The 22764-nt window shown below is 45.7% G+C and overlaps 4 annotated features.

The window, feature by feature from the left end:
- Positions 21117-21906: an enhancer, noted in NCBI's record as "H3K27ac-H3K4me1 hESC enhancer chr2:8825499-8826288 (GRCh37/hg19 assembly coordinates)". NCBI's record gives its function as "activates a minimal SCP1, AML or CMV promoter by ChIP-STARR-seq in naive H9 embryonic stem cells {active_cell/tissue: H9 hESC(naive)}" and the evidence as "EXISTENCE:reporter gene assay evidence [ECO:0000049][PMID:30033119]".
- Positions 21313-21532: a silencer, noted in NCBI's record as "silent region_11128". NCBI's record gives its function as "represses an Ori minimal core promoter by ATAC-STARR-seq in GM12878 lymphoblastoid cells {active_cell/tissue: GM12878}" and the evidence as "EXISTENCE:reporter gene assay evidence [ECO:0000049][PMID:35858748]".
- Positions 21553-21612: a silencer, noted in NCBI's record as "silent region_11127". NCBI's record gives its function as "represses an Ori minimal core promoter by ATAC-STARR-seq in GM12878 lymphoblastoid cells {active_cell/tissue: GM12878}" and the evidence as "EXISTENCE:reporter gene assay evidence [ECO:0000049][PMID:35858748]".
- Positions 21907-22697: an enhancer, noted in NCBI's record as "H3K27ac-H3K4me1 hESC enhancer chr2:8824708-8825498 (GRCh37/hg19 assembly coordinates)". NCBI's record gives its function as "activates a minimal SCP1, AML or CMV promoter by ChIP-STARR-seq in naive H9 embryonic stem cells {active_cell/tissue: H9 hESC(naive)}" and the evidence as "EXISTENCE:reporter gene assay evidence [ECO:0000049][PMID:30033119]".

The following is a 22764-nucleotide window of genomic DNA, read 5'->3' as shown; positions in this document are numbered from 1 at the left end:
AATCTTTCTGAAAAACAAGAAACTGGTATGTTTGCGTGCATGGAAATGTATTGATAAACAGGTGATGGATTGGAGAACTGGGGCAAATATTTTTTAAAGGTTACAGGAAAAAAGACAATTGAGAAAATACGACAATCAGCTTCAGAAAAATGGAAGGTACACGGAAGAAAAGAGGTATGGACTTGATTTGCTACCTTGGTTCAACCTGTTTTAATGAGATAAATGCTAATGTCTGACAACAGCTATGATTACAACCCTGGGAAGGTGAGAGAGGGGATGTGTATGCGTCTGATGATGGGGAGGGCTAAGCTCACCTCACTGTGGTGGGAGGAAAATGCAGGACGCCTAAGTACGATCTGCTGAGCAAGAGCAGTGGACACTATTGATTTAGATGCTCGGAGGGAAATCCGGGGAATGGCCGCAGCTCTGAAGTTGGTTGCCTTTGGGGAGCGAGACTGATGGGTGCAGAGGGATGGGCCAGAGACTGCTGCTGCTTTTCATTCTGGGCCTTTAGTGGTCTTTGGATTTTTAAATTATGCTCATGTGTGACTTTGTTTAAAAATGAAAATGAAAATGAAGACATATGCATCTAAAGCTGCCCAAGCTGCGTTTCTTTATGGTTACTCCTTAAACCCCCCAAGACTTTTTAGGCTGTTTGCAGAAAGCACACTGCTCGTGTCTTCCCGCCATCAGCAGATGCTGGGATGAACAATTAATACTCCAAGTGGAGCCTCCCTTCGTTCCGAAGCAAGGCTCTTCAAACTGGAGGCACACAGGCAGGAAGGCTCGAGGGATCCGTCTTCAAGCTTCTGTTCCTCGTTCTCTCCCAGGAGCTGGCTGTCCTGGGAGCACCCCTGTTGCAGGGATCCCGCCCTCCCCTCACCTCTCAGGCCCAAATCCCTCTCTGTGTTCACCTGAGGTCAAACCCCGGGGCCATCAGACAAGGCTACAAGGCTGGCTTGTATACCTTTCCTTTCAAGATGCTCCGAAAGCTGTGGCAGGACTTGTGTCTCTCCCTGCCTCAGTCACGCTTCTGTTAGAGGAGGGCTACTTTAGCCTGTGTCAGGACATTCTGAATGTAGATACACTACTGAGGGACAGCAGGAAGGGTGACGGTATTTGTGTGATGCCCTTCCCGCCTCCTTCCCTAAATTATTGTTTGAGGAAGAATCCCCCGTGAGCAGAGCACCAGTGAGAAAGGCTGGGGCCCTGGCTCTGCCTGCACCCATGGGCGCTGGGCTCCTTCCTGACCCGGCGTTCCGTGGGGATTAGGATTAGACAGCAGCAGGGCTGTCAGGAACGCATCACTGACTTGTTTATTTGAATATTGAATGGAAAAATAAAGTTAGTTTTTTTAATAGCGAAAGGTAAGTCTGGCTTGGTTGATTTGACAATGAGGACTCTACCAATTTGTTTTTATGGGAACATTTTGCATAATAATACAAACTATTTCTGTGGCTCCAGTTTTGACAAAATGTATTTCAAGCCCATAAGACAAAAAGCATTCTTTCTTTTTCTTTTTTTCTTTTTTTTGAGACAGGGTCTCACTTTATCACCCAGGCTGGAGTGCAGTGACGTGATCTCGGCTCACTGCAACCTCCGCCTCCCGGGTTCAAGTGATTCTCAGGCCACAGTCTCCAGAGTAGCTGAGATTATGGGTGAGCGCCACCACACCTGACCGATTTTTGTATTTTGTATTTTCAGTACAACGGGGTTTCACCATGTTGGCCAGGCTGGTCTCGAACTCCTTCCTGACCTCAAGTGATCTGCCTGCCCTGGCCTCCCAAAGTGCTGGGATTAGAGGTGTGAGCCACGCACCTGGCCTAAAAAGCATTCTTTCAAAAACAGTCTTTGGGAAAAGGCTTATTGACATGATTCGGTGTTTCCATTTTCTCAATCCTTTCTGAGCATAAGCAGCTAGACAGGGGCCTTAAATAAGAGAGTAAAAGGTAAAAATTAATATTCATTTGATAAATCTTGGTAAGGCCTTTTTACAATGATTCCCAGAAGTGGAGAACATGAGTGACTCAGCCCTGGGGAAAGGATGGGTGTCCAACCTTTCGCTTCCCTGGGCCACACTGAAAGAAGAATTGTCTTGGGCCACACATGAAACACACAAACACTCACGATAGCTGATGAGTTAAGAAAAAAAAAAAAAAGGTCTGTGCATAATTTTCGTGGTATCCACCACCACAGATAAGCAAAAGAGTCCTTGCATTCCAAGGGTTGGACATGGGTGAAACTTGAAACCATCAATTTCAAATTCTTTTACTACTCAGTAAAATTGAAGGCAGGTGTACTTGAGTTGTCTTTGGATAGAATTGAAATGGTGATTGCTAATGGTTCCCCATGTGATTTCTAGTACATCATTTGGAAGAAGTTGGAAGAACCAGCGACATCGTCCCATCAAAGCTGCCTCCATTTCCGTCTCCTTGTTTATGTGGGTAAGTTGTCTTGACATTTATATCTATACAAATAAAAAAAAAGCAGGGATAAAATTCATGTTGAACTCTGGCTCATTCTACAGAAAAATAATATTCATCTATGGATACTTAAAATAATAAGCGAGACTTAAAAGTAAATAACAGTCTTACTCATCTCATTAATGGACTTATTGCCTATAAAATATTATCTTAATGTTTATAAAAACTGTAAGGCATTGAAGAATAATTTGTGATCAGTGGAAATAAGAACATCTATAATTTCTGTATATTTATATATATTCTTTTTACACAAAAGTATGATAGGGTAATCAATAAATGATTTTCAAATATAAACATGTATTACATTAGAATAAAATCCTATGGAGGAGATGGAATAGAAACACCAGTTCAGAGATTAAAAAACAGTATGAAATTTTTGACTCTTAAGGAAGAAATGGTTCTTGTATTTTGAATATGGGCGATCACAGCTATCAAATGGTGCTGACATTAAATGGTTAGTGCATTTAAGACACTAACGTAATGATTTTGCATAAAATTTTCTTTTGCATACATTGAAAATAACAAAAATTTTAGATGACAACTTGTGGCAGGCCAGGTGTCACTAACGCAGGCCTCCATAACAACTGTCTCGGCACCGACTGAGTGGTTCAGTCAAACATTAAAAGCTGAGAGAGCCAGTGCCCTCATACAAAGGCTGGAGTGTAACAAAAGCCCACCAAGAGTTTTGCCTAGACCTTTCCTGGGCCTTAAATCATGACAAAATAATGAGGGAATTCTTAACAGAAACCATTTAGGATTAAACAAGTTTTATTGGTGGTCTGAAAAAACTCCCCAGGCCTCCAGAAACAAGTTTATTGGGGGTCTGAAGAAACTCCCCAAACCTCCGTAATTTAGCAGGAGACAAGATAAGGGCAATCATCCCAGCACCTGGACCCATTTAGATTAAGTAAGTTTACTGAGGCGCCAGTGGAAGGTCTTAAAGACTCAGACCTTAGTTACAGATTAAAAGAAGTGAATCACTCATGTCTTTAGATAAATGCACACTTACATGTATACATATAGCTTAGAAGGTATATAAGCTCTGGAAAACTCTGGAAAACTCTGTAATTTTGAGTTGGCTTGGAGATAATTTCCAGGCCTTCTCCCTGTAACTGGGTACAGAAATTAAAACTCCCTTCTCTCCCAGTTCATCTGCATCTCATTATTGGGCTGCAAGAATTAGCAGCCCGACCCTCGGTTTGGTCCGGGAACAAACTTAAAAACGTGGGAGCAGATATACGGTTTTTAAAAATCCTATAAGGGGATTACATAAACAAAAATGTTTGAAGAGTATAATTCTAAACTGTTTGATCTTTTACCTTTTCAGATCATGTTCAGGTTATCAGTTGCTGTGTAAGAAATATAGAATGGCATAAAACAACAAGTACATATTTTATTGTAGACAGTTATTGTAAGTATTTTTTCCTTATAGTTCTACAGTTCTGGGGTCACTGGCCTCAGCCAGGTGTTCTTGCTCAGGTCTTTTAGGCAGGTGTGGTCAGGTGGTGGCCAGGGCTGGAGACAACTCAAAGGCTTCCTCACACAGGCGTCTGATGGGTGGCGGTGGCTGTCAGCGGGGATGGCAGCTACTGGTGGCAACCCCTACTCATGGTCTCTTTCTGCAGCCTGGGCTTCCTCACAAAATGGTGTCTGTATGCCAAATAAACGATTTTTGGAACGTCCAGAGAAAGAGAACCAGGCAGAGGTCATATTACCTGTTAAGACCTAATCTTGGAAGGCACAGAGGGTCACTTCCTTTCTTTGCATCTGTGAAAGGGAAATACATCTTGGGGCCTCAGAATCACTAAGCTAAAGGGAAAAGTCAAGCTGGAAACTGCGTAGGGCAAACCTGCCTCCCTGTCTATTTAAAGTCACCTCTCTGCTCACTGGAATAAATGCATATCTGACTGCCTCCTTTGGAGAAGCTCATCAGAAACTCAAAAGATGCGACCTTTTGTCTCTTATCTACCTATGACCCGGAAGCCCCCTCCCCGCTTTGAGTCATCCCGCATTTGCTTTGAGTTTTCTCGCCTTTCTGGACCGAACCAATGTTCCTCTTAGGAATGTGGGTTGATGTCTCACGTCTCCCTAAAATGTATAAAACCAAACCATGCTCTGATGACCTTAGGCACATGTCATCAGGACCTCCTGAGGCTGTGTCATGGGTGCACATCCTCAATCTGGGCAAAATAAACTTTCTAAATTAACGGAGACCCGTCTCCAATATTCGGGGTTCACACATCCTAGTGGAGGCAATCACGAAGTCCAGCTCGGCTTCAAGGGCAAAAGACAGAGACGCCTCGCTCCTGTTGCAGGAGTGGTGGCAAGGTTCTAGAAGAGCATGTGGGGCCAGAAATATTTTTGCAGCCACAGATGTATAAACGGCCACAGATCACTGTAGGGAGAAGGAAGACAAATGCCTCCTACGGACTGATTCCCTCGTGGCAGGAAATGAAATGGAAAAAGACCTCTGCTCCACGCTGGATGTGTCTCAGCTTGATTTTCAAGAGCTGCACATCTAGGGCAGGAGAGGGGGTTATAGATTGCGGAATGGAGCTGAAAGGATCCCTTCTTTTGCTTCCAGTGAGACTGAGCGCCAGGTTTTGCAAACGCTCGCTTGCACCTCACAGGGAACAGCAGAGAAAGGGGTAAGATGCCAACAGCCGCGATCGCTACCACCGCTGTCACCAGCTTTGTGTCTAACGTTGCTTCTGTGGGGTTAGCATAGGGCAGGAAACTGTCTTGGTGGAAAACATTTGAAATCAAGTAGGAATTTTCCTTCAACACTGAGGCCTTCAGCTTCTTTTGGTATCTAATTGCCTCCATTCACCTCCCCCAACCCACAGTGATTTTCACTTAGTTGGAAAATGTCAGTTAAAATTCACACCCTTACTATAGTGAAAGAGATGTAAAAAATAGAAATGGCGTTCTTTCCCGACACTGTCACCGTCTCTTGCATGTGGCTTCCAGTAAGAGTGTTTTTTTCTTTCTATTTCACTGATGATTTGGCTGTGGAATCTCAGAAATCTTGGGCTCTTGCCTATAACTAAGAATATAAAGGCCTTCCACGGAAAATGTTGAAGTATATAAAAATCTTCAATATATGCTATTTTTGGATTGCATATCAACATAAGATTTAGGATTCAAGTGCCTCGCTTTTTCTATCTAGATGTTACCAAAAGACGACCACCTTCCTAGGCTGAAACGTGTGGAAATGGCCCGTGGCATCTTCAACATTTCCAGAACGTGGCTTCTTTTGTCCACATTGACCAAGCACTAGGCGTGAAGGTGTAACCTTCAATTGTGAGATTGAAGAATGCCATCAGCTGCGTGTATGCTTCCAGTAATTAAAAGAATTCCCCACAAAAAAGCTTCATGCATAAGGCAGGGAGGGGTACAAAACTCCTGAACTGTATCCTTGGCATTTAGACCTCGAAACTCATTTCACCTTTTCATTCTGCTTATTCTTAGGATAATCATTTCAAGAGCAGAACTTGTTTTGTTTTGTTTTGAGTGGGACAGGGTCTCATTCTATGACCCAGACTGGAGAGCAGTGGTACAATCAGGGCTCACTGCAGCCTCAACTTCCCTGGGCTCAGGTCATCCTCCTACCTCAGCCTCTTGAGTAGCTGGGACTCCAAGCACACACCACCATGCCTGGCTAATTTTTGTATTTTTTTTTTTTTGTAGAGACAGGATTTTACCAGGTTCTCCAGGCTATCCTCAAACTCGCTCAGGATTGCTCAAGCAATCCTCCCACCTCAGCCTCCTGAAGTGCTGGGATTGCAGGCATGAGCCACCAGGCCTGGCACAAAACATTTAATAGTACGGTTTTCTGGCCAGGTGCAGTGGCTCATGCCTGTAATCCCAGCACTTTGGGAGGCCGAGGCAGGCGGATCACGAGATCAGGAGATCGAGACCATCCTGGCTAACACGGTGAAACCCCATCTCTACTAAAATTACAAAAAATTAGCCGGGTGTGGCGGTGGGTGCCTGTAGTCCCAGCTACTAGGGAGGCTGAGGCACGAGAATGGCGTGAACCCAGGAGGCGGAGCTTGCAGTGAGCCGAGATCGCGCCACTGCACTCCAGCCTGGGTGACAGAGTGAGACCCCGTCTCAAAAAAAAAAAAAAGTATGGTTTTCTACATAGAAATATATACATTCTATTTACATATGTATATACATTTCATAATGGCAAGGAGAATTTGGACATATCTGATAGACTATATATGACAAAATAATATATATCATATTTAATAATATAATATATATTATATATAATATATAATAAAAATACATATCTTCTAGATACGCCAAAATTCTCCCTGCCATTGTAGAAGCAGAAATACTATATTATTATCTACGTCAGCTCAAGTTCCCACGGATAGGTGTTTCAATCAGCTGGGATAATACTTGGAAAAAGTAAAAGGCTCTAATGAGTTATGATATCCACAATATGTGGTCACTTAATATTGCTAGTTTCTTGGGTTAAAAAAACCAAGTTAATTGTGATCTAGTAGATAAGTTTGAAATATCTTGGCTATAACTAAAAAAGACACATATAAACCATTGACATCTAGACATTTCAGCAGCTGGAGGGAATGCCAGCATAATTCCTAAATCGAGAGTTTTAGTGACAAAGCAAGATATGCCTGGAGGAGTTGCATGGCCAAAATTATCTCTGCCATTTCCACCAAATGTTTCTGCAGAGCATTTAAAATGGTGTCTGCAGTAGGAAGTTAGCCATTTCTTAAAGAGGCATTTCCTACTTGTGAGACCTACGGGATATAGCACTTGCTCGTGATTATGGGGTGTCTAGGCGGATTTCCATCAGCAGTGAAGGAATCCAGGACATCCGGCCTGGTCCTGATTCCATTCCATTCCATAGCCCGACGTTTTTCATAAAAATACCTGTGGTGGCCAGCCTCCAAGATGGCCTCCCTGTCTCCTGCTGTTCACAGCCCACACCCTACATACCACGGTTGGTCTGTGTGACCAACAGTGATGGCAGGTCACTTAACTTCTAAGATTAGGTTATAAAAGAGTACAGTTTGGGCACAGTGGCTCATGCCTGTAATCCCAGCACTTTGGGAGACTGAATTGGGAGGATCGCTTGAGCCCAGGAATTCAAGACCAGCCTGGGCAACATGGTGAGACCTTGTCTCCACAAAAAAGTTTAAAACTTAGCCAGGCCGGGAAGTTGAGGCTGCAGTGAGCTGTGATTGTACCACTGCATTCTGTCAAGGGCGACAGAGTGAGACCCTGTCTCAAAAAAAAAAAAAGGTGGATGAACTATAAAGAAAAAAAAAGTGCTTTGCTTTCAACACACACACACACACACACACACACACACACACACACACACACACACACCCAGGCATGTTTCCTCAGGGAAGCTGCATGAATCAACTCTATTGTGGTCTGTGGACTGGAATATAAGCATGGGCTTGTAGCACAGGTGAGTCTGGAAAGACTGAGCCCAGATTCACCTGGACCTCTAAGGCCTAGAACACTCACGTGAGAATCTCAGCTAGCTACTGTGCCAGCCGTTATGTGTCTGAAGCAAGGTCAAAACCAAACTCAGGATGAATCACCCATGGTCCACATTCTTGCAGCACAGTCTTTACTCCTGCGTGGCACACACGCTGACTTGCACGGTGCTCAGTTGTGGTGGCACCTCTCCCCGCACCTGAGCTCCTTATGCTCATCTTACACCAGCACCCGGGGTGCACAGTGTTTGCTGGGCTCCAGGACTCATTCGAATGTCACCTCAGGTCATGGCAAAAATCTCAGGTGGGCTGTGCGGCTAGAATTTGGATGGAAAGGGCCTTGAGGAGTGAATTGGAGCTTGAGCTTCCATCTCGTGCAGGAAGTTCTTCCTCTGCAGCATCCCTGATGCAGGACCCTGTGGCCCCTCCTGGAGCCTGTCTAGGGCAGGAACTCAGTGCTCATGAAGGTCTGATCCAGTCCAGTGCATTTATTCACACACTCAACACATGTATTGCCTGCTTACCATGTGCCAGGCACTGTGCTAGACCCTGGGATACGGCAGCCTGTTAGGCAGACCAAACTGCTGTCACCTGTTAACCCCAGTCAGGCATGGAACTTCATTGCTGTGGCCCATCTGTGTCCCCCAACACTCATGTGTTGAAAATTTAATCCCCAGTGAAGCAGTGTTGAGAGGTGGGACTTTTAAGAGCTGATTAGGTCATGGGGACTCTGTTGTTATTTGGGAGGAAGCTTAGTGGAGGGTGGGTTTGTTATCCAAGCAAGTTTGACTTGAATTCACTCTCTCTTGCTCTCCTACTGTATAAGCCCATTCTCACATTGCTATAAAGAACTACCTGAGACTGGGTAATTTATAAAGAAAAGATGTTTAATTGGCACATGGTTCCACAGAAAGCTTGGCTGGGGAGGCCTCAGGAAGCTTATAATTACGGCAGGAGGTGAAGGGGAAGCCGGCACATCCTATATGGCTGGAGCAGGAGGAAGAGAGCGAAGGGGGAGGTGCTACACACTTTTACACAACCAGATCTTGTGAGAACTCACTATCACAAGAACAGCAAGGAGGAAATCCACCCCCATGACCCAATCACCTCCCACCTGACCCCTCCTCCAACAGTGAGGATTACAATTGAACATGAGATTTGGGTGGGGACACAGATCCAAACTATATCATCCACCTTCTGCATGGGAGGACACAACCCTTACCAGATGCTGGTGCCATGCTGTCGAATTTCCCAGCCTCCAGAACCATAAGTCAAATAAATTTCTGTTCATTATAAATTACCCCATCTGTGGTATTCTCTTATAGCAACATAAAGTGGACAAGATGCTCATTATGAATGCTTAATTTGGGAGAGGAACATCTTCTGTAGTTGAGGGAACTCCCAGCTTCCGTGCTTCCTCGTGGCAGTGGAAGATAGCCCATCACATTCCTGATCCTCACTTTAAAAAGTGGCAGGTCCTCAGGCCACCCACCTCGGAACCTACAATGCCTGAGGCATTGGGAACTGCCCACCCTTCCTCTAAAGTAAGCCCCAAAGTGTCACAATCTGCAGAAACATTCAGGACTTAAGAGACACACTGCACTGTGTATGGATGTCAGGCCAGGTCTTTCCCATTACTCAGGGATCTTCATGAGAACTGGCTGTGAGAAACCACTTCCAATGTCCTCACTGACTGTGCAGGCTTGGTTGCATTTCCCTATGAGCAGGGGCAGTCATATGCATTCATTCTCAGGAAGAACACAGCCTGCATTAGTTTTCTGTCACTGCCATTATAAATCACCACAAACTGAGCAGCTTAGAATGACACAAATTTAGTGTCTTACAGTTCTGTAGATCGGGAGCCTGACACAGGTCTCGCAGGGTGTGGGTAGGGCTGTGCTCCTCCTGGAGGCTCTAGGAGAGAACTTGTTTCCTTGCCTTTTCCGGCTTCTAGAGGCCGCCTCCCTCTATCTACAAAGCCAGCAGTGTTGCAGTCTCTGACCCTTCCTCTGTGGCCTGCTCTAATTATGGACGAAAAAGGTCCTCTGTTTTTAAAGACTCCTGTGATTAGACTCAGCCTGCCTGATAATCCAAGAGAATCTCCCCAACCCAAATCTATGCCCTTAGTCTCGGTTGCAAAGTCCCTTTGTCATGTGAGGGGAACACATCAGGAGGTTCTGCAGATGAAGCCATGGACATCTTTGGGAGGATACTTCTGCCCGCCACACATGATTGTTTTCCTACCTCTCTCACTTGTCTCTGCAGCTTCACTGCTCAGGTTTTACTCCAGAATCCAATTTACTCCTAAATCAAAATTCAGGAAGTTTGTAAAGGATCACTTTCCCTGCACGGCATGGCCGGCTTTGCTCCTGTATGTCCTGCGAGCCCATGCTGGTCTCCCTCCTCTTCTATCACTATTGTGTTGCCTCCTCAGGCTTCTGCCCCTGAAGTTCCCATCTTTTCCTTGTCCAATGATCAGCCAGATGCCAGAGCCGCTCACTGGGCTCTGCCCCTCCAGCTCAGTGCTTTGATGCCACTCACCTGGCGTTGTGTGTTTCGCTGTGTCCTCCACTCCCAGTGGTTCCATTGAGGCAATTCTTGCTTCCTGCCATGTAATCATGGGTTTCAAGGCTGAGAACTTACATTCTCTCTCTCAATGTAGCACGGGGCACATAAATCCCTGATATTTGCTTTACTTTTTGACTGACTAACCAAAAAAATGATGAGAAGAGGACAAAAGACCTGGGGTGGAGATTCCGAGGACCAGGAATCAGGTTATGTAGGGGCTGCCTTAATGTTCGTTCCTCATTCAGTCGATCAGTGCTTGTGGTTAATTTTAGTACAAAAAATATTGGTTGATTATAAAATAATGCAGGTTAAATAACTTTTTTTTTTTTTTGAGACAGGGTCTCACTTTATCACACAGACTGGAGTACAGTGGCACGATCATGGCTCACTGCAGGCTCAAGTGATCCTCCCATCTCAGCCTCCCAAGTAGCTAGGACTACAGGCATGCCACCATGCCTGGCTTTTTTTTTTTTTTTTTTTAAATAGAGATAGGGTCTCATTTTGTTGTCCAGGCTGGTCTCCAACTCTTGGGCTCAAGTGATTCTCCTGCCTTGGCCTCTCAAAGTGCTGGGATTACAGGTGTGAACCACTGTGCCCAGCCAGGAATTTTTAGTAAACATTAAAATGGAAAAAAATCACCCACAGTCACAGCAAAGGGACCACTATTAGTTTTTCTTTCTTTCTTTTTTTTTTTCGAGACAGAGTTTTGTTGTTGTTGCCCAGGCTGGAGTGCAATGGTGCGATCTTCGCTCACCGCACCCTCTGCCTCCCAGGTTCAAGCGATTCTCCTGCCTCAGCCTCCTGAGTAGCTGGGATTACAGGCATGCGTCACTATGCCCGGCTGATTTTGTATTTTTAGTAGAGATGGGGTTTCTCCATGTTGGTCAGGCTGGTCTCAAACTCCTGACCTCAGGTGATCCGCCCACCTTGGCCTCCCAAAGTGCTGAGATCACAGGCATGAGCCACCGCGCCTGGCCACTGTTAGTTTTTAAAAATGTTTTCCTCCAGTCATATCTTGCTCCTACCCACATGTGCCCTCGCTGTATTATACACAGAAAAAAAGTGTGCATTTATTTAACAAAAACAGACCATTTCATGGGTAATTAATGAAATGAAAGGTGGAATAATGTATAAGAGAGTGCTATTGCAAGATATTTTAAAACTGAAAATGTGTATTTTGCAAAGGGAAAAAGTTCTGAGAAAGAGAAAATTGAATTATTTTTGAGTCCCTAGGATGACAACAGAAATGTGTGGTCAGGCCGGGCGCAGGGGGTCACGCCTGGAATCCCAGCACTTTGGGAGGCGGAGGCGGGTAGATCACCTGAGGTCAGGAGTTCAAGACCAGCCTGGCCAACGTGGCGAAACCATGTTAGCCGGGTGTGGTGCCGCGTGCCTATAATCCCAGCTACTCGGGAGGCTGAGACAGGAGAATTGCTTGAACCCAGGAGTCAGAGGTTGCAGTGAGCCGAGATAGTGCCATTGCACTCTAGCCTGGGTGACACAGAAAGACTCTGTCTCAAAAAAAAAAAAAAAAAAAGAAAGAAAGAAATGTGTGGTCAATGAGACATTCAACTTTGGGGTACATTGCAACGTGGTCATGATGACAGTTCTAAAATCCTAAGAGAAATAATCCAAATCAAGTATGGAAACAAATTAGCCTAATACGCTGAGTTTGTGCAAACAATACTTACCTTCAGTTTAGGAATGTGGTCTGCTTTGCAACAGCTTCTAAGAGTTGTGAAGTATGGCTTTTTTCTTCCTTTCCTCCCAGAAACTGCCCATATGATTGCTTAGTGAGTCAGTCCTCTGGGGAATGTCTTCATTTTACTCAGCCCTTTTGATATAGCGCTCCATAAAAAAGCAGCAGGGACAACCCGTCCCTCTATAACAAACGGGGTAAGCACTGGCGGAGGTACCTCTGATGCACACCATTCTATTCGTTTCCTTAGTTATAATATTTAGGTTGGTGCAAAATTATTTGCGGCGTTTGCCATTAAAAGTGATGGCAAAAACCACAAATAATTTTGCACCAACTTAATAATTACTACGAATAATTTCCGTTGCTGCAAAGCGATTGTGATAAAACAGGTTGTGATTAAAATTTTATAATGTGAAGTTTGGGTGCCGTGATTTTGACAACTTTATCTTGACACAGTATTATTAAATCAATAATAATAACAACAAATGTGTAACCTATAAACGAGAAACATTAAAAGAAATGTGGCTGCTAAATAGTTTGGTTCCATCACTCTCCTGCGCAAAGCTCTCCAAGGTCCCAGTTTACACAAAGTAAAGGCCAAAGCTCTTAGCGCGGCCTGTGAGGCTGGGTGTGATGGGCCTCCCCCATCCTGTCCGTTCTCCTCTCCTCGCACTGGGCCCCTGGCTGCCTTGCTCCGGCCCACTGTCCCCCACCATGCCCCACCGCTCCCCCACCACCCACCGCTCTCCCCCAGCCCTCTCCCCCACCAGCCCCCATCCCCCCACCTCCCCCCAACAGCTCTCCCCCACCCCCGTACCATCCCCCACCGTCCCACCACCCCCCAGCCCCCTCCCCTGCCCCCCATCAGCCCCCACCACTTCCCACCAGCCCTCCCCCACTCCCCGCCAGCCCCCACTGCCCCCACCGCCCCCCATCAGCCCCCCACCAGCTCCCAGCCCCCTCCACCCCCTCCCCGTCACCACTCCCACCGCCCCTCACTGCCTTCAGGTGGGACTTCCCTGGATGGCTGCTGCCGCCGGGCCTTTGCACGGGCCGCACCCACTGCCCGATTCCCCTTCCCGCAGATTCTGCGTGTTCGGCTGCTCCTGTTGTCCACGGTGCTCTCATGGAGCCTGGGGTACCAGTCAGGGCCCCGTCAGGAGACAGAAACCCCCCGAGCTCTCAGAGAGAGAGTAAGCTTGCTAACTAGCTAGAATGTGTTAACTGGGGAGCTGAACAGACAGCACTCCAAGCTGTCACCGAGGCAGTGCCGCAGGCAGCATGCCCCCCAGGATGAGGGAGCAGAGGGGAAAGGCGGGAGTGACTGAAGCTCAGAAGCTGGAGGAGGGTCCCTGTGCCTGGGACGTAGAGCCTCTATGCAGGGGCCGCAGGCTCAGGGACGGGGGCCATCAGGCTGGTCCTCTGAGTGTGGGGAAAAGCGCGGTCTGGATTCAGGCGCAGCCACAGGGAGGCCAGGGTGAAGAAGTGCTGGGCGGGGCTGCTGGGACCCCCAGGTGGACGGGAAGTCCCCGGGAAGCACACGGGCTGCGGCCGCTCCCATCCTCCCGCCGCCCCGCTGCGGCTGCTCTCTCACGCCCCCAACTGGCCATGCTAACCCGGAGTCGGCTGAGCTCTGCAGGGTCCCGGCGACCGGAGGTTGAGGACAGAAGACAACACCTTCATACTTCATAACTGGTCACCTAGGTTCTGTCTCCTCTTTTTCCCTGCTTTATTTGTCTTCGAATGCATATGAGACACACTCATGGTCTGTCTCCCATTGCTGGAATGCAAGTTCCACAGGGGCAGGGATCCCGGCTGTTTCATCCCAGTGTCGGCAGCACCTAGAGCCACGCCTGGCGTAGTCCCATGCATGTTTGCCGAATAAATTAATACATCAGTGTAACTCCATCGACACGTCAGAGACTTTCAGTGGCAAGAGGTGTCCCCGTTTTTGCAGGAGCAGCTCGCTAGGGTGGATGTTTTGTTCCTGTAGACAATAGATGATACAACAAAAATAATTAGCAGGAAGAGTCCTGCTTTTTACCCCTTGGCCTGTGTGAGCTGGCATTGCCCTGCAGCAAACGCGGTTTGCAGGGAGAGCACTCAAGGGCGTCTACTTGTTTGGGGATGATTCTCTAAAAGTCATTGTCAGGTACAAAGCCAGGACTTGACAAACTTGTCCAAAAATTTCCTTCCCAGTCAAGATATTTTTAGATTGAATCAACTTAACTGGTTTGGATTAAATTTAAACTTGAAATTTTCACTCTTTAAAATATTTTACTTCAGGCAATTAAAGTTTCAGTTGACATTTTTTAGAAGTCTTTTTTTTTTCCTCCCCTGGGAGGCTTTGGCGAACTCTGGTAAAATTACAACATTAAGAATGGCCTTGTCCTTTTCTCTGCCTAACTTGCTTCCATAGGATTTTTGAAACATCAAATATTGAAGAATTGTGTGCTTAAGAACTTTCTCTCAGAACTGATGAAACTTATTTAGAGCTTATTTAGAAGATTATGTTTGTAAAATAAAACTTACAGCGTTGTCCCTAGGTGGAGAATTAACTTAAAACTAAGACCACATTCCAAGAAGTGGCATAATCATATACGTGGAAGTACACACGCCATTCTACTTATAATGGCAGCAGGCAGAAGAGGAAGGGAAGCCAGGACGTTCCTAGGCTTCGGCCACTTTTCTTTGCTGCCAAATGCTAAGATCCATGCTAGGCGCCCCTGTCATAGCCATGCAGCGTCTCAGTAGGAGTGAAAGTAGTTCAGAGCCAGAAGGGCGGAGAGTTCAATTGCTGTCTCAGTCAAGGTCAATCTTGAGGAAGTGAATGAGGGTGCCAAGCAGTGTGTCAGGAGGCCAGGGCCTTTTCAGAGAGTTGGGCAGTGGGGGCATCTCTGTGCTCCAGTAGATAGAGGACTGGGTTATTTTTCTAACTTACTTATCACAAACATTCCCAAACATATGCAAAAGGAGTGAACGGAGGACACCTATGTGCCTGTCACTCAGTGGTGACAGCGGCAGCATTTCACTATATCTGGCTCATCCAGCCCTACTCCCTTTTTCTTTTTCTGGAGGATTTTAAAGCAAATATTATATATTATGTCATTTATCCTTACAAACTTCAGTATGCATCTCAAAAATACCAATTTCACACCTAAGGAAACAAAATCTTCACTATTATATAATACCCACCCCTCACTCAAATTTCCCCAGCAATCTAAAAAAAAAAAAAAAAAAAAAAAAAAAGTCCCTTTAGAGTTTCAGGATCCAGACAAAGCCCATCCGTTGCATGTGGTGGTGGTATTTTAAGTGTTTTCGGTGCTTGGCCTCTGCTTCTTCGTCATCGGCTTGTTGGAAAGGTTGGGCCAGTTGTCCAAGGATGCCCTGTTCCGGGTTTGTCTGAACACTTCCTGCGATCCCATTTCACTTGCTCTCTCCTGTTTCCCATTGACAAGAAGTTAGGTCTCAGGGATTGATGTTACCCCAGATTGAATTTTTACTCTTCTTTTCCCTAAGAATACTTCACAGGAAGTGTCGCTGGCGTCGATCATGTCCCATCGGGAGGCACCTCATGGCCAGTTGATTGGTTTTCTAGAGATTGATCAGTCGGTTCAGGTGATCATTTCTTTATTAACAGCCTGATTATTCTATTACAAAATTTCTCATCAACCTTACAATGTATGAGTTTACTAAACTTTGAAGATCATGGTCTAAATCAATTACTACTTTAGTTACCACATTACAGTGACTACACTCATCTTTAGGGATTCAACATGGTGACTCTCTAACTCTTGCAATCGTGGTTATCTGAAATCCAGCTCGTACTGGAAAGGCAGGAAAATGCTTAATTATTTCTCTTTAATTCTCCATTTTTAGAATGTGCTGGTGCCCTAGAAACCTCCATTGGTATCCAAAGCGTTTTTGCTTTATTTTTGTCTCCTCTTTATTTTTAGTCTTACTTCCTGTCCTAGATCGGGAATCAGCCATTTCTCCAAAAAACTCTGGTTCCTTTTAGTGGTGAGTGGTACTTGATCGTACAAACTGGTGTAAGCGGGTGCTTATTATCACCTGGTTGTCATTGCTTCTGGCATTTTCAGTGGAAAGCTATAAAAATATATTTTTAAAAAGAAACATGCATTTAAATTGATATTTTCAGTTCAAATGTAAGATTTCAGAGCTTTTACTTCTTGAACGTTATGCTGATGTTTCATTTCTCTTACATTGAAAATCTTGGTTCCTAATGACATTAGTATAATTACTTCTTTGCTTATCCTACAATATACATATAATAGTTCAAAAATAACAATACCAATATTATTACTAGCGATGTGGCTACTAAAGGAAGTTTATGATTTCTTTGCAGTTCTTTTTGTCCTTAGAATAGATCCACTGGGAATGTACAGTGAAACTGTCGAAGGTCAGTTGGGGTCATTTTTCCTCTGTGTGCGTATGTTACTAACTTGAGACGTAATTAGGTCCATTTGTTGTCATTTTTTTCTACTTACATATTGTTTTTTAAATGTAATTTGTAAAAAGTATTTACATATCTCAGTCAAAACTATATGACAATATACATTCAGAAATACCACATTTAATACAATATAATTGTAAAAATGGAGAATTAAAGAGAAATAATTAAGCATTTTCCTGACTTTTCAGTATGAGCTGGATTTCAGATAACCATAATTGAAACAGTTAGAAAGTCACGGAGTCTTTCTCTGTTGCCCAGGCTGGAGTGCAATGGTGCGATCTCAGCTCACTGCAACCTCTGCCTCCTGGGTTCAAGTGATTCTCCTGTCTCAGCCTTCCTAGTAGCTGAGATTACAGGCTCACACTGCCATGCCCGGGGGCTAATTTTTTTTTGTATTTTATTAGAGACACGGTTTTACCGTGTTGCCCAGGCTGCTCTTGAACTCCTGAGCTCAGGCAATCCACCCACCTCAGTCTCCCAACGTGTTAGGATTACAGGTGTGAGCCACCACGCCTGGCCACCATGCTGCAATTTCTAATGATGAATGTATTCACTGTAATGTGATAACTAAAGGAGTAGTCGATTTAGACAATGATCGTCAAAGTTTAGTAAACCCATTAAGTGAAAGATTGACACGGAATATACATTCAGAAATACTACACTCCCTTTCTAACATTGCTTCCTCCACTCTATTCTAGCCTCTCCCATCAATAACCATTTTTATTAATTTTAGTTTTTTCTTCCATTTCATTTCTCTGAAAATATAAACAAATATGAATCTATGTGTTACTATTACACCTTCCTTCTCATACAAAAGCTAGCACACCATATACACTGTTCTGTATTAGGCATTCTTCACCTGACGCTTTGTCCTGGAAAGCCCATGTCAGTATATAAAGATCTCCTCTTTGCGTTACATCACCATGTATTAGTATACTAGAGCTTTTCCAAACAGTCCCAAATTTGGGTTGTTTCTAGTCATTTGCTATTAAAAGCAATGCCAAATCTATTAACCTGGTGCATACAGTATTACATATTTTTGCAATGTAACTTTGGGATAGATTTCTAGGAGGGAGAAAGCTGGGTTAAAGAGTAAATGCATATGCAATTTTGCTAGATATCACCACATTCCTCTTTATAGGGGTCAGAGTATTTTATCATCAACAATATACAAGATTGTTTCCCTCACAGTCTTGTCAACAGAGTATATTGTCAAACTTTTGGATTTGTGCCCATTTGTTGGGTGAGAATTGTTATATAGTTTTTCATTTGCACTTGTCTTATTATGGGTGAAATTGGCCATCTTTTTGTATGCTTACAGGCTGTTGATTACTTTATCTGTGAACTCTATTGCTACTGTTTTCCTATTTCTAATTGTGTTGGATTTTTTCATCTTAATTTTTAAAACATGTATATGTGGGCTGGGTGCAGTGACTCAAACCTGTAATTCCAGCATTTTGGGAGGCCAAGGCAGGAGGAATGCTTGAGCCCAGGAGTTTGAGACCACCTGGGTAACATGGTGAAATCCTGTCTCTACAAAAAAAAAATAGAAAAAATTAGCCAGGCGTGGTGGTGCACACCTGTAGTCCCAGCTACTTAGGAGGCTGAGGTGAGAGGATCAACTGAGCCCAGGGAGGCTGAGGCTGCAGTGAGCTGTGATCAATGCCACTGCACTCCAGCCTGGGTGACAGAGAGACCCTGTCTGAAACCAAACAAAACATGTATATGTGCAGAATATTAGCTTGACTAAAAGCCTTTAAGAGAAGATATATCTAACATTCAAGTTGCTTGAACGTTTACTGTGACAGATTCCCTTCTACTGCCACAACCAGTTGATACAGTCTGCCATACTTGTTGGAACTTCTCTCTCTATCCTTTCTGTCTCTTACCTTGAGTTCATATTTATCTTATCTTTATCTCTCTGTGCTCATTCTGGGTAATTTTTTCAGGTTCATCTCCCAGTTCATTAATTCTCTCTCCAGTAGTTTTTAATCTGGGTTTTAACATTTTCATTGAGTTTTCACTTTCAATAACTATATGTAAGCACTTTGATGTTGTTCGTTTTCAAATCTGCCTATTCTTTTATATATAATACTGTATATTGTGATTTTTTATGTTCTTGCTTAATTTTTAAATTTCTTTAATCATCTTAGTTGTGCTTACTTTATAGCCATTTTAGATCTTTTGTTTCTAATCTTTCTCTTCATTTTAGCTACTGATTCTCTCATGGTAAATTGTTTTCAGTGTTTTTAAAATTTTTGAATTATAAACTGACTTTCACCCAACCGTGAAAATGTGAGAATTCTGTGTAGTCTGTATTGAGAAATTTTCTCTCCAGAGAAGAAGCTTTGCATGTGCCACTTCCAAGCACTCCAGGGGTATCACCAGCCAGAAACCCATTTTTGTGTTAATTTCTCAGCATCAAAATTTCTCAAACCAAGTGGGTAGTACATATTTGAATCTCCATTGCCCATAAGGGCATGTTTATGGGTAAAAATTTTCGGAGGAGATTTTCATTTCCCTCTTGAGCTCAGGTTCACACACAAGCTTCCTTATGATCTTCCTGAGCTAATGAGTATTATTTTTTTCTAATCAATAACCGACATTTCAGGCCTTCCAGGATCCTGGGTGGTAGTATCAGTTTCAATGCCCTGCTTCACAGGGTTGTAAAAACTTGTCTGTAATTCCTGTTTGGCCAATGCCCTAGTTTACTGGGATTGGTGCCCTCACTCAGGACTGCCACAAATGTGTGCATGCTCTTCCCACTGTCCTTCTGTTGCATCTTCCTTCAGGGCCTCTGGAAAATCTCCTTCCTTCCTTACAGTCTCAGGCGGTGCTCCTCATAATGCCTACTTTAGTCAGCAATAAACAAAACACATGTTGTTGAGCTTCTCAACTTATGCTGCCTCTGACTCAAATTATCTTTAATTAAATTAATTAATTAATTAGTTTTCTGAGACAGGGTCTCGCTCTGTCACTCAGGCTGCAGTGCAGTGGCACAATCATGCAGCCTTGACCTCCTGGGCTCAAGAGATCCTCCCACCTCAGCCTCCTGAGTAGCTGGGACTACAGGCGTGCACTACCACACCCAACTAACTTTTGTATTTTTAGTAGAGATGGGGTTTTGCCATGTTGCCCAGGCTGGTCTTGAACTCCAGGGCTCAAGCGATGCACCCACCTTGGCCTCCCAAAGTGCTGGGATTACAGGCGTGAGCCACTGCCCCTGGTCTTCAAAGTATCTTTATGATGAAATAGAAAAACATCCAACACCTTTTCTGGATCAGCATCCAGAAAGACACTCAAAGTCTGAAACCCCTTTTCCGGTAGCAAAATGCATCAAAAATTGGAAGGATGTATGGGGTGTCAAGCTGAAGGGGATTGGGATGGCTCTGCACCTGCCCTGCAGAGAGCCGCACAAATTATTAGCTGTGGATTTTAAAAGCTCTATAAAGCAGCTCCTTATTGACAAGAATATTATTTTCTATTAGAGTCTACATCTTCACCCTCTACTTGAAAGTCCTTTTTATGTTCCTGAAAAAGCGCTGGACTGAGTTCGTCTGCCCACTGCCTGGTTGTGTGCTGTTGGCTACTCAATGCTCACCTCTGAAATAGACAGACTACACGTTAGCCGACCTTCAGGGATGCACTCATGGCTTTGAACGCTAAAATTAAATGTAAACTGACCTGTACATTTATTGCTTGAGGTTAGTATGATCTTGATTCAAAAACCAGTTACAGACAACACAAGAAAGTAAATCACAGTTCCATTTCATTTTCAAAAATAAAATATTGGCTAACAGAATCCACGGTGGATATAAAAAGTAATAATATATGATGTTCACGTAGGAGTTATTTCAGAAATGCATGGCTAGTTCAGTATCAGAAATATCAGTGTAATCCACCAGACAAAAATAATATCAGTAAATGCAGTCAAAAGTATTTTACCAATTGACTCACGAATTATGATTTAAAATTCTCAAAAAAAAAAAAAAAAAAAAACCCCTTCCAACAAGCCTAGCAATTGAAAGGCTCTTCCAAAAATTGAGAAACAGTATCTATTACAACAGAAGCCTACAGTCACATCCTACTAAATGGAAGAAATGTGATCGATTCTCATTAGGATTTGGAATAAGAAAAGGAGGCCGACTCCCACCTCCCACTGCTTTAACTAACACTGGCGTTCTTGGTTAATAGTTATTAAGCAGTTCAGAAAAATTAAAACAAAATTTAACAAAACATCCAGGAAAGAGAAGGGAAAGCATTCTGGCTTTCATGTGACTTCACAATTCATTTATCCCCACAATCCAAGCATAGTCTCTTTGAGACTAGGATCCTGTCTGATCTTTTTAAAAATCTCTGGGACAGCACCTAGCATAGAGGTTGGCAGCAACTACTAATTTGCAAAAGGGGATCCTGTCTATGCTATGCAGTAGCAAAGATTACATGAGATCCACACGTGGAAACGGCTGTACACATGCTGGAGCAGCACTCATTTGGAAAGGCCGCACTCCCTGGCGTTTTCTCCCGGGACCTCCTCCACCCCACGGATTGCTCCTCGGGTTCCCAGTGCCCGGGCCCCAGGCCCACCAGGCCCCGCGCGAGAGCCGCCGTCCTCGTGTCGGCCAGCAGGTGGCGCCCGGGCTCCACGGCCGGAGTCGGGCAGCGCGGCTGGCGCCGCGGGAAGTCGCCTCCGAGAGGGGCTGCTGCGCCTCGGCTGCGGCTCCAGGGGTCCCGGGGCCAACGTCGCCAGCGGTGCCCGGCAGGGGCTCGAAAGGGCCCGGGCCGCCCCACAGTCCCGCCCGCACTGCTTCCGTCCGGGGACGCTCCCCAGGGCCGTCCGAGCGGACTACGCGCGGGTCCCCGTGGCTGGGGGGCGAGCGTGCGGCCGGCGTCTGCGCCTCTCCCGGAGGCGAGGCGGGGGTCGGGTTGGGACCAGAGCGCGCTTCCCTCCCCGCCGCGCAGAGGTCGGCCGGGGCCGCGGCTGGCGACAGGTGGCGGGGACCTGGGGGCCAGGTCCGCGGGTAGCCTGCGACGGGGAAGACGCCCCTACGGCCCTCAGGGCTTCCTCCGGGTATGATGATCAACCACACGACCGCCCCGCGCTGGCCCCGGCAGAGCCCAGTCCCCGGCGCGGGTCCGCAGGGCGATCCGGGCGGCCGCGGCTCCACGGCCCCCGCCCTCCTCCAGCGCCAGCGCCCGCGGGGAGCGATCGGGGGTCAGGGCGGGGAGACGCGCGGACTCCTCGGTGGCGCCGCCCGAACACCTGTTCCGCCCCAGGTGAGCTGCTGCCCCGCCCGGATCCCTTCCTCCCCCGGTTCGCGTCCACCTGGGACCCGCCTTCCAGAGCCTCCCAGCCCACCTCGCGCCCCGGGACTGAAAACGCAGACCAGTCTTGAGCACGTGGCCACCCGCGGTCTTTGGCTGGGAAAGGCTTCTGCCCGCTGCCTCTTCCTTCCAGTCCAGGGCGGCAGTCAAGGCTGAGGGCGATCGAAAAGTCCGGGAAAATGCGCCCGGCCCAGCCCCGTCTCCGGAGGCCCGGAGGTGGGTGGGGTGTGGCGGGGGGGCTACAGGTGTGGACGCAGGCGAAGCCAAGGAGGCCTCAGGAGCCCGGGGCCAGGTGACAGCTTAGTTCCCTGTGCAAACAGTAACCCTCGGGTGTTTCTGCCTTCCCTTAAACCTGAAATCATGTTCTGAATTCTGTACAGCCTCTTTTCTTCTCCTGATTAACTTTCATTTACTCCAGAGAAGCGTCTTAACGCCCACTCAGACAGGTAGTGCTTCCACACTCCCAGACTCAACTCATTCTTGGCTTTAAACTCAGCCCTGAGGCACAGAACCAAGCTTTCTCTTAAGGACTCGAGGCACTTCTGTGCTCAAAGCCTCCCCAGTCCCTGTCAACTCAGCCCTCTGCCTTACCACACATCTGATAAGATTCTCTGTACACAAGTAAAAGCTTCAGGGGTGCTGCTGGTGGGGGGATGAAGGAGAAGGGGATAAAGAAAACAATGTGTGTGTGTGTGTGTGGGGGGGGGGGCCGAGAGGGGGAGACAG

The sequence above is a fragment of the Homo sapiens genome, chromosome 2 (assembly GCF_000001405.40).
Source record: "Homo sapiens chromosome 2, GRCh38.p14 Primary Assembly".
Lineage (NCBI taxonomy): Eukaryota > Metazoa > Chordata > Mammalia > Primates > Hominidae > Homo > Homo sapiens.
This window is presented reverse-complemented; position numbering and strand designations above follow the sequence as displayed.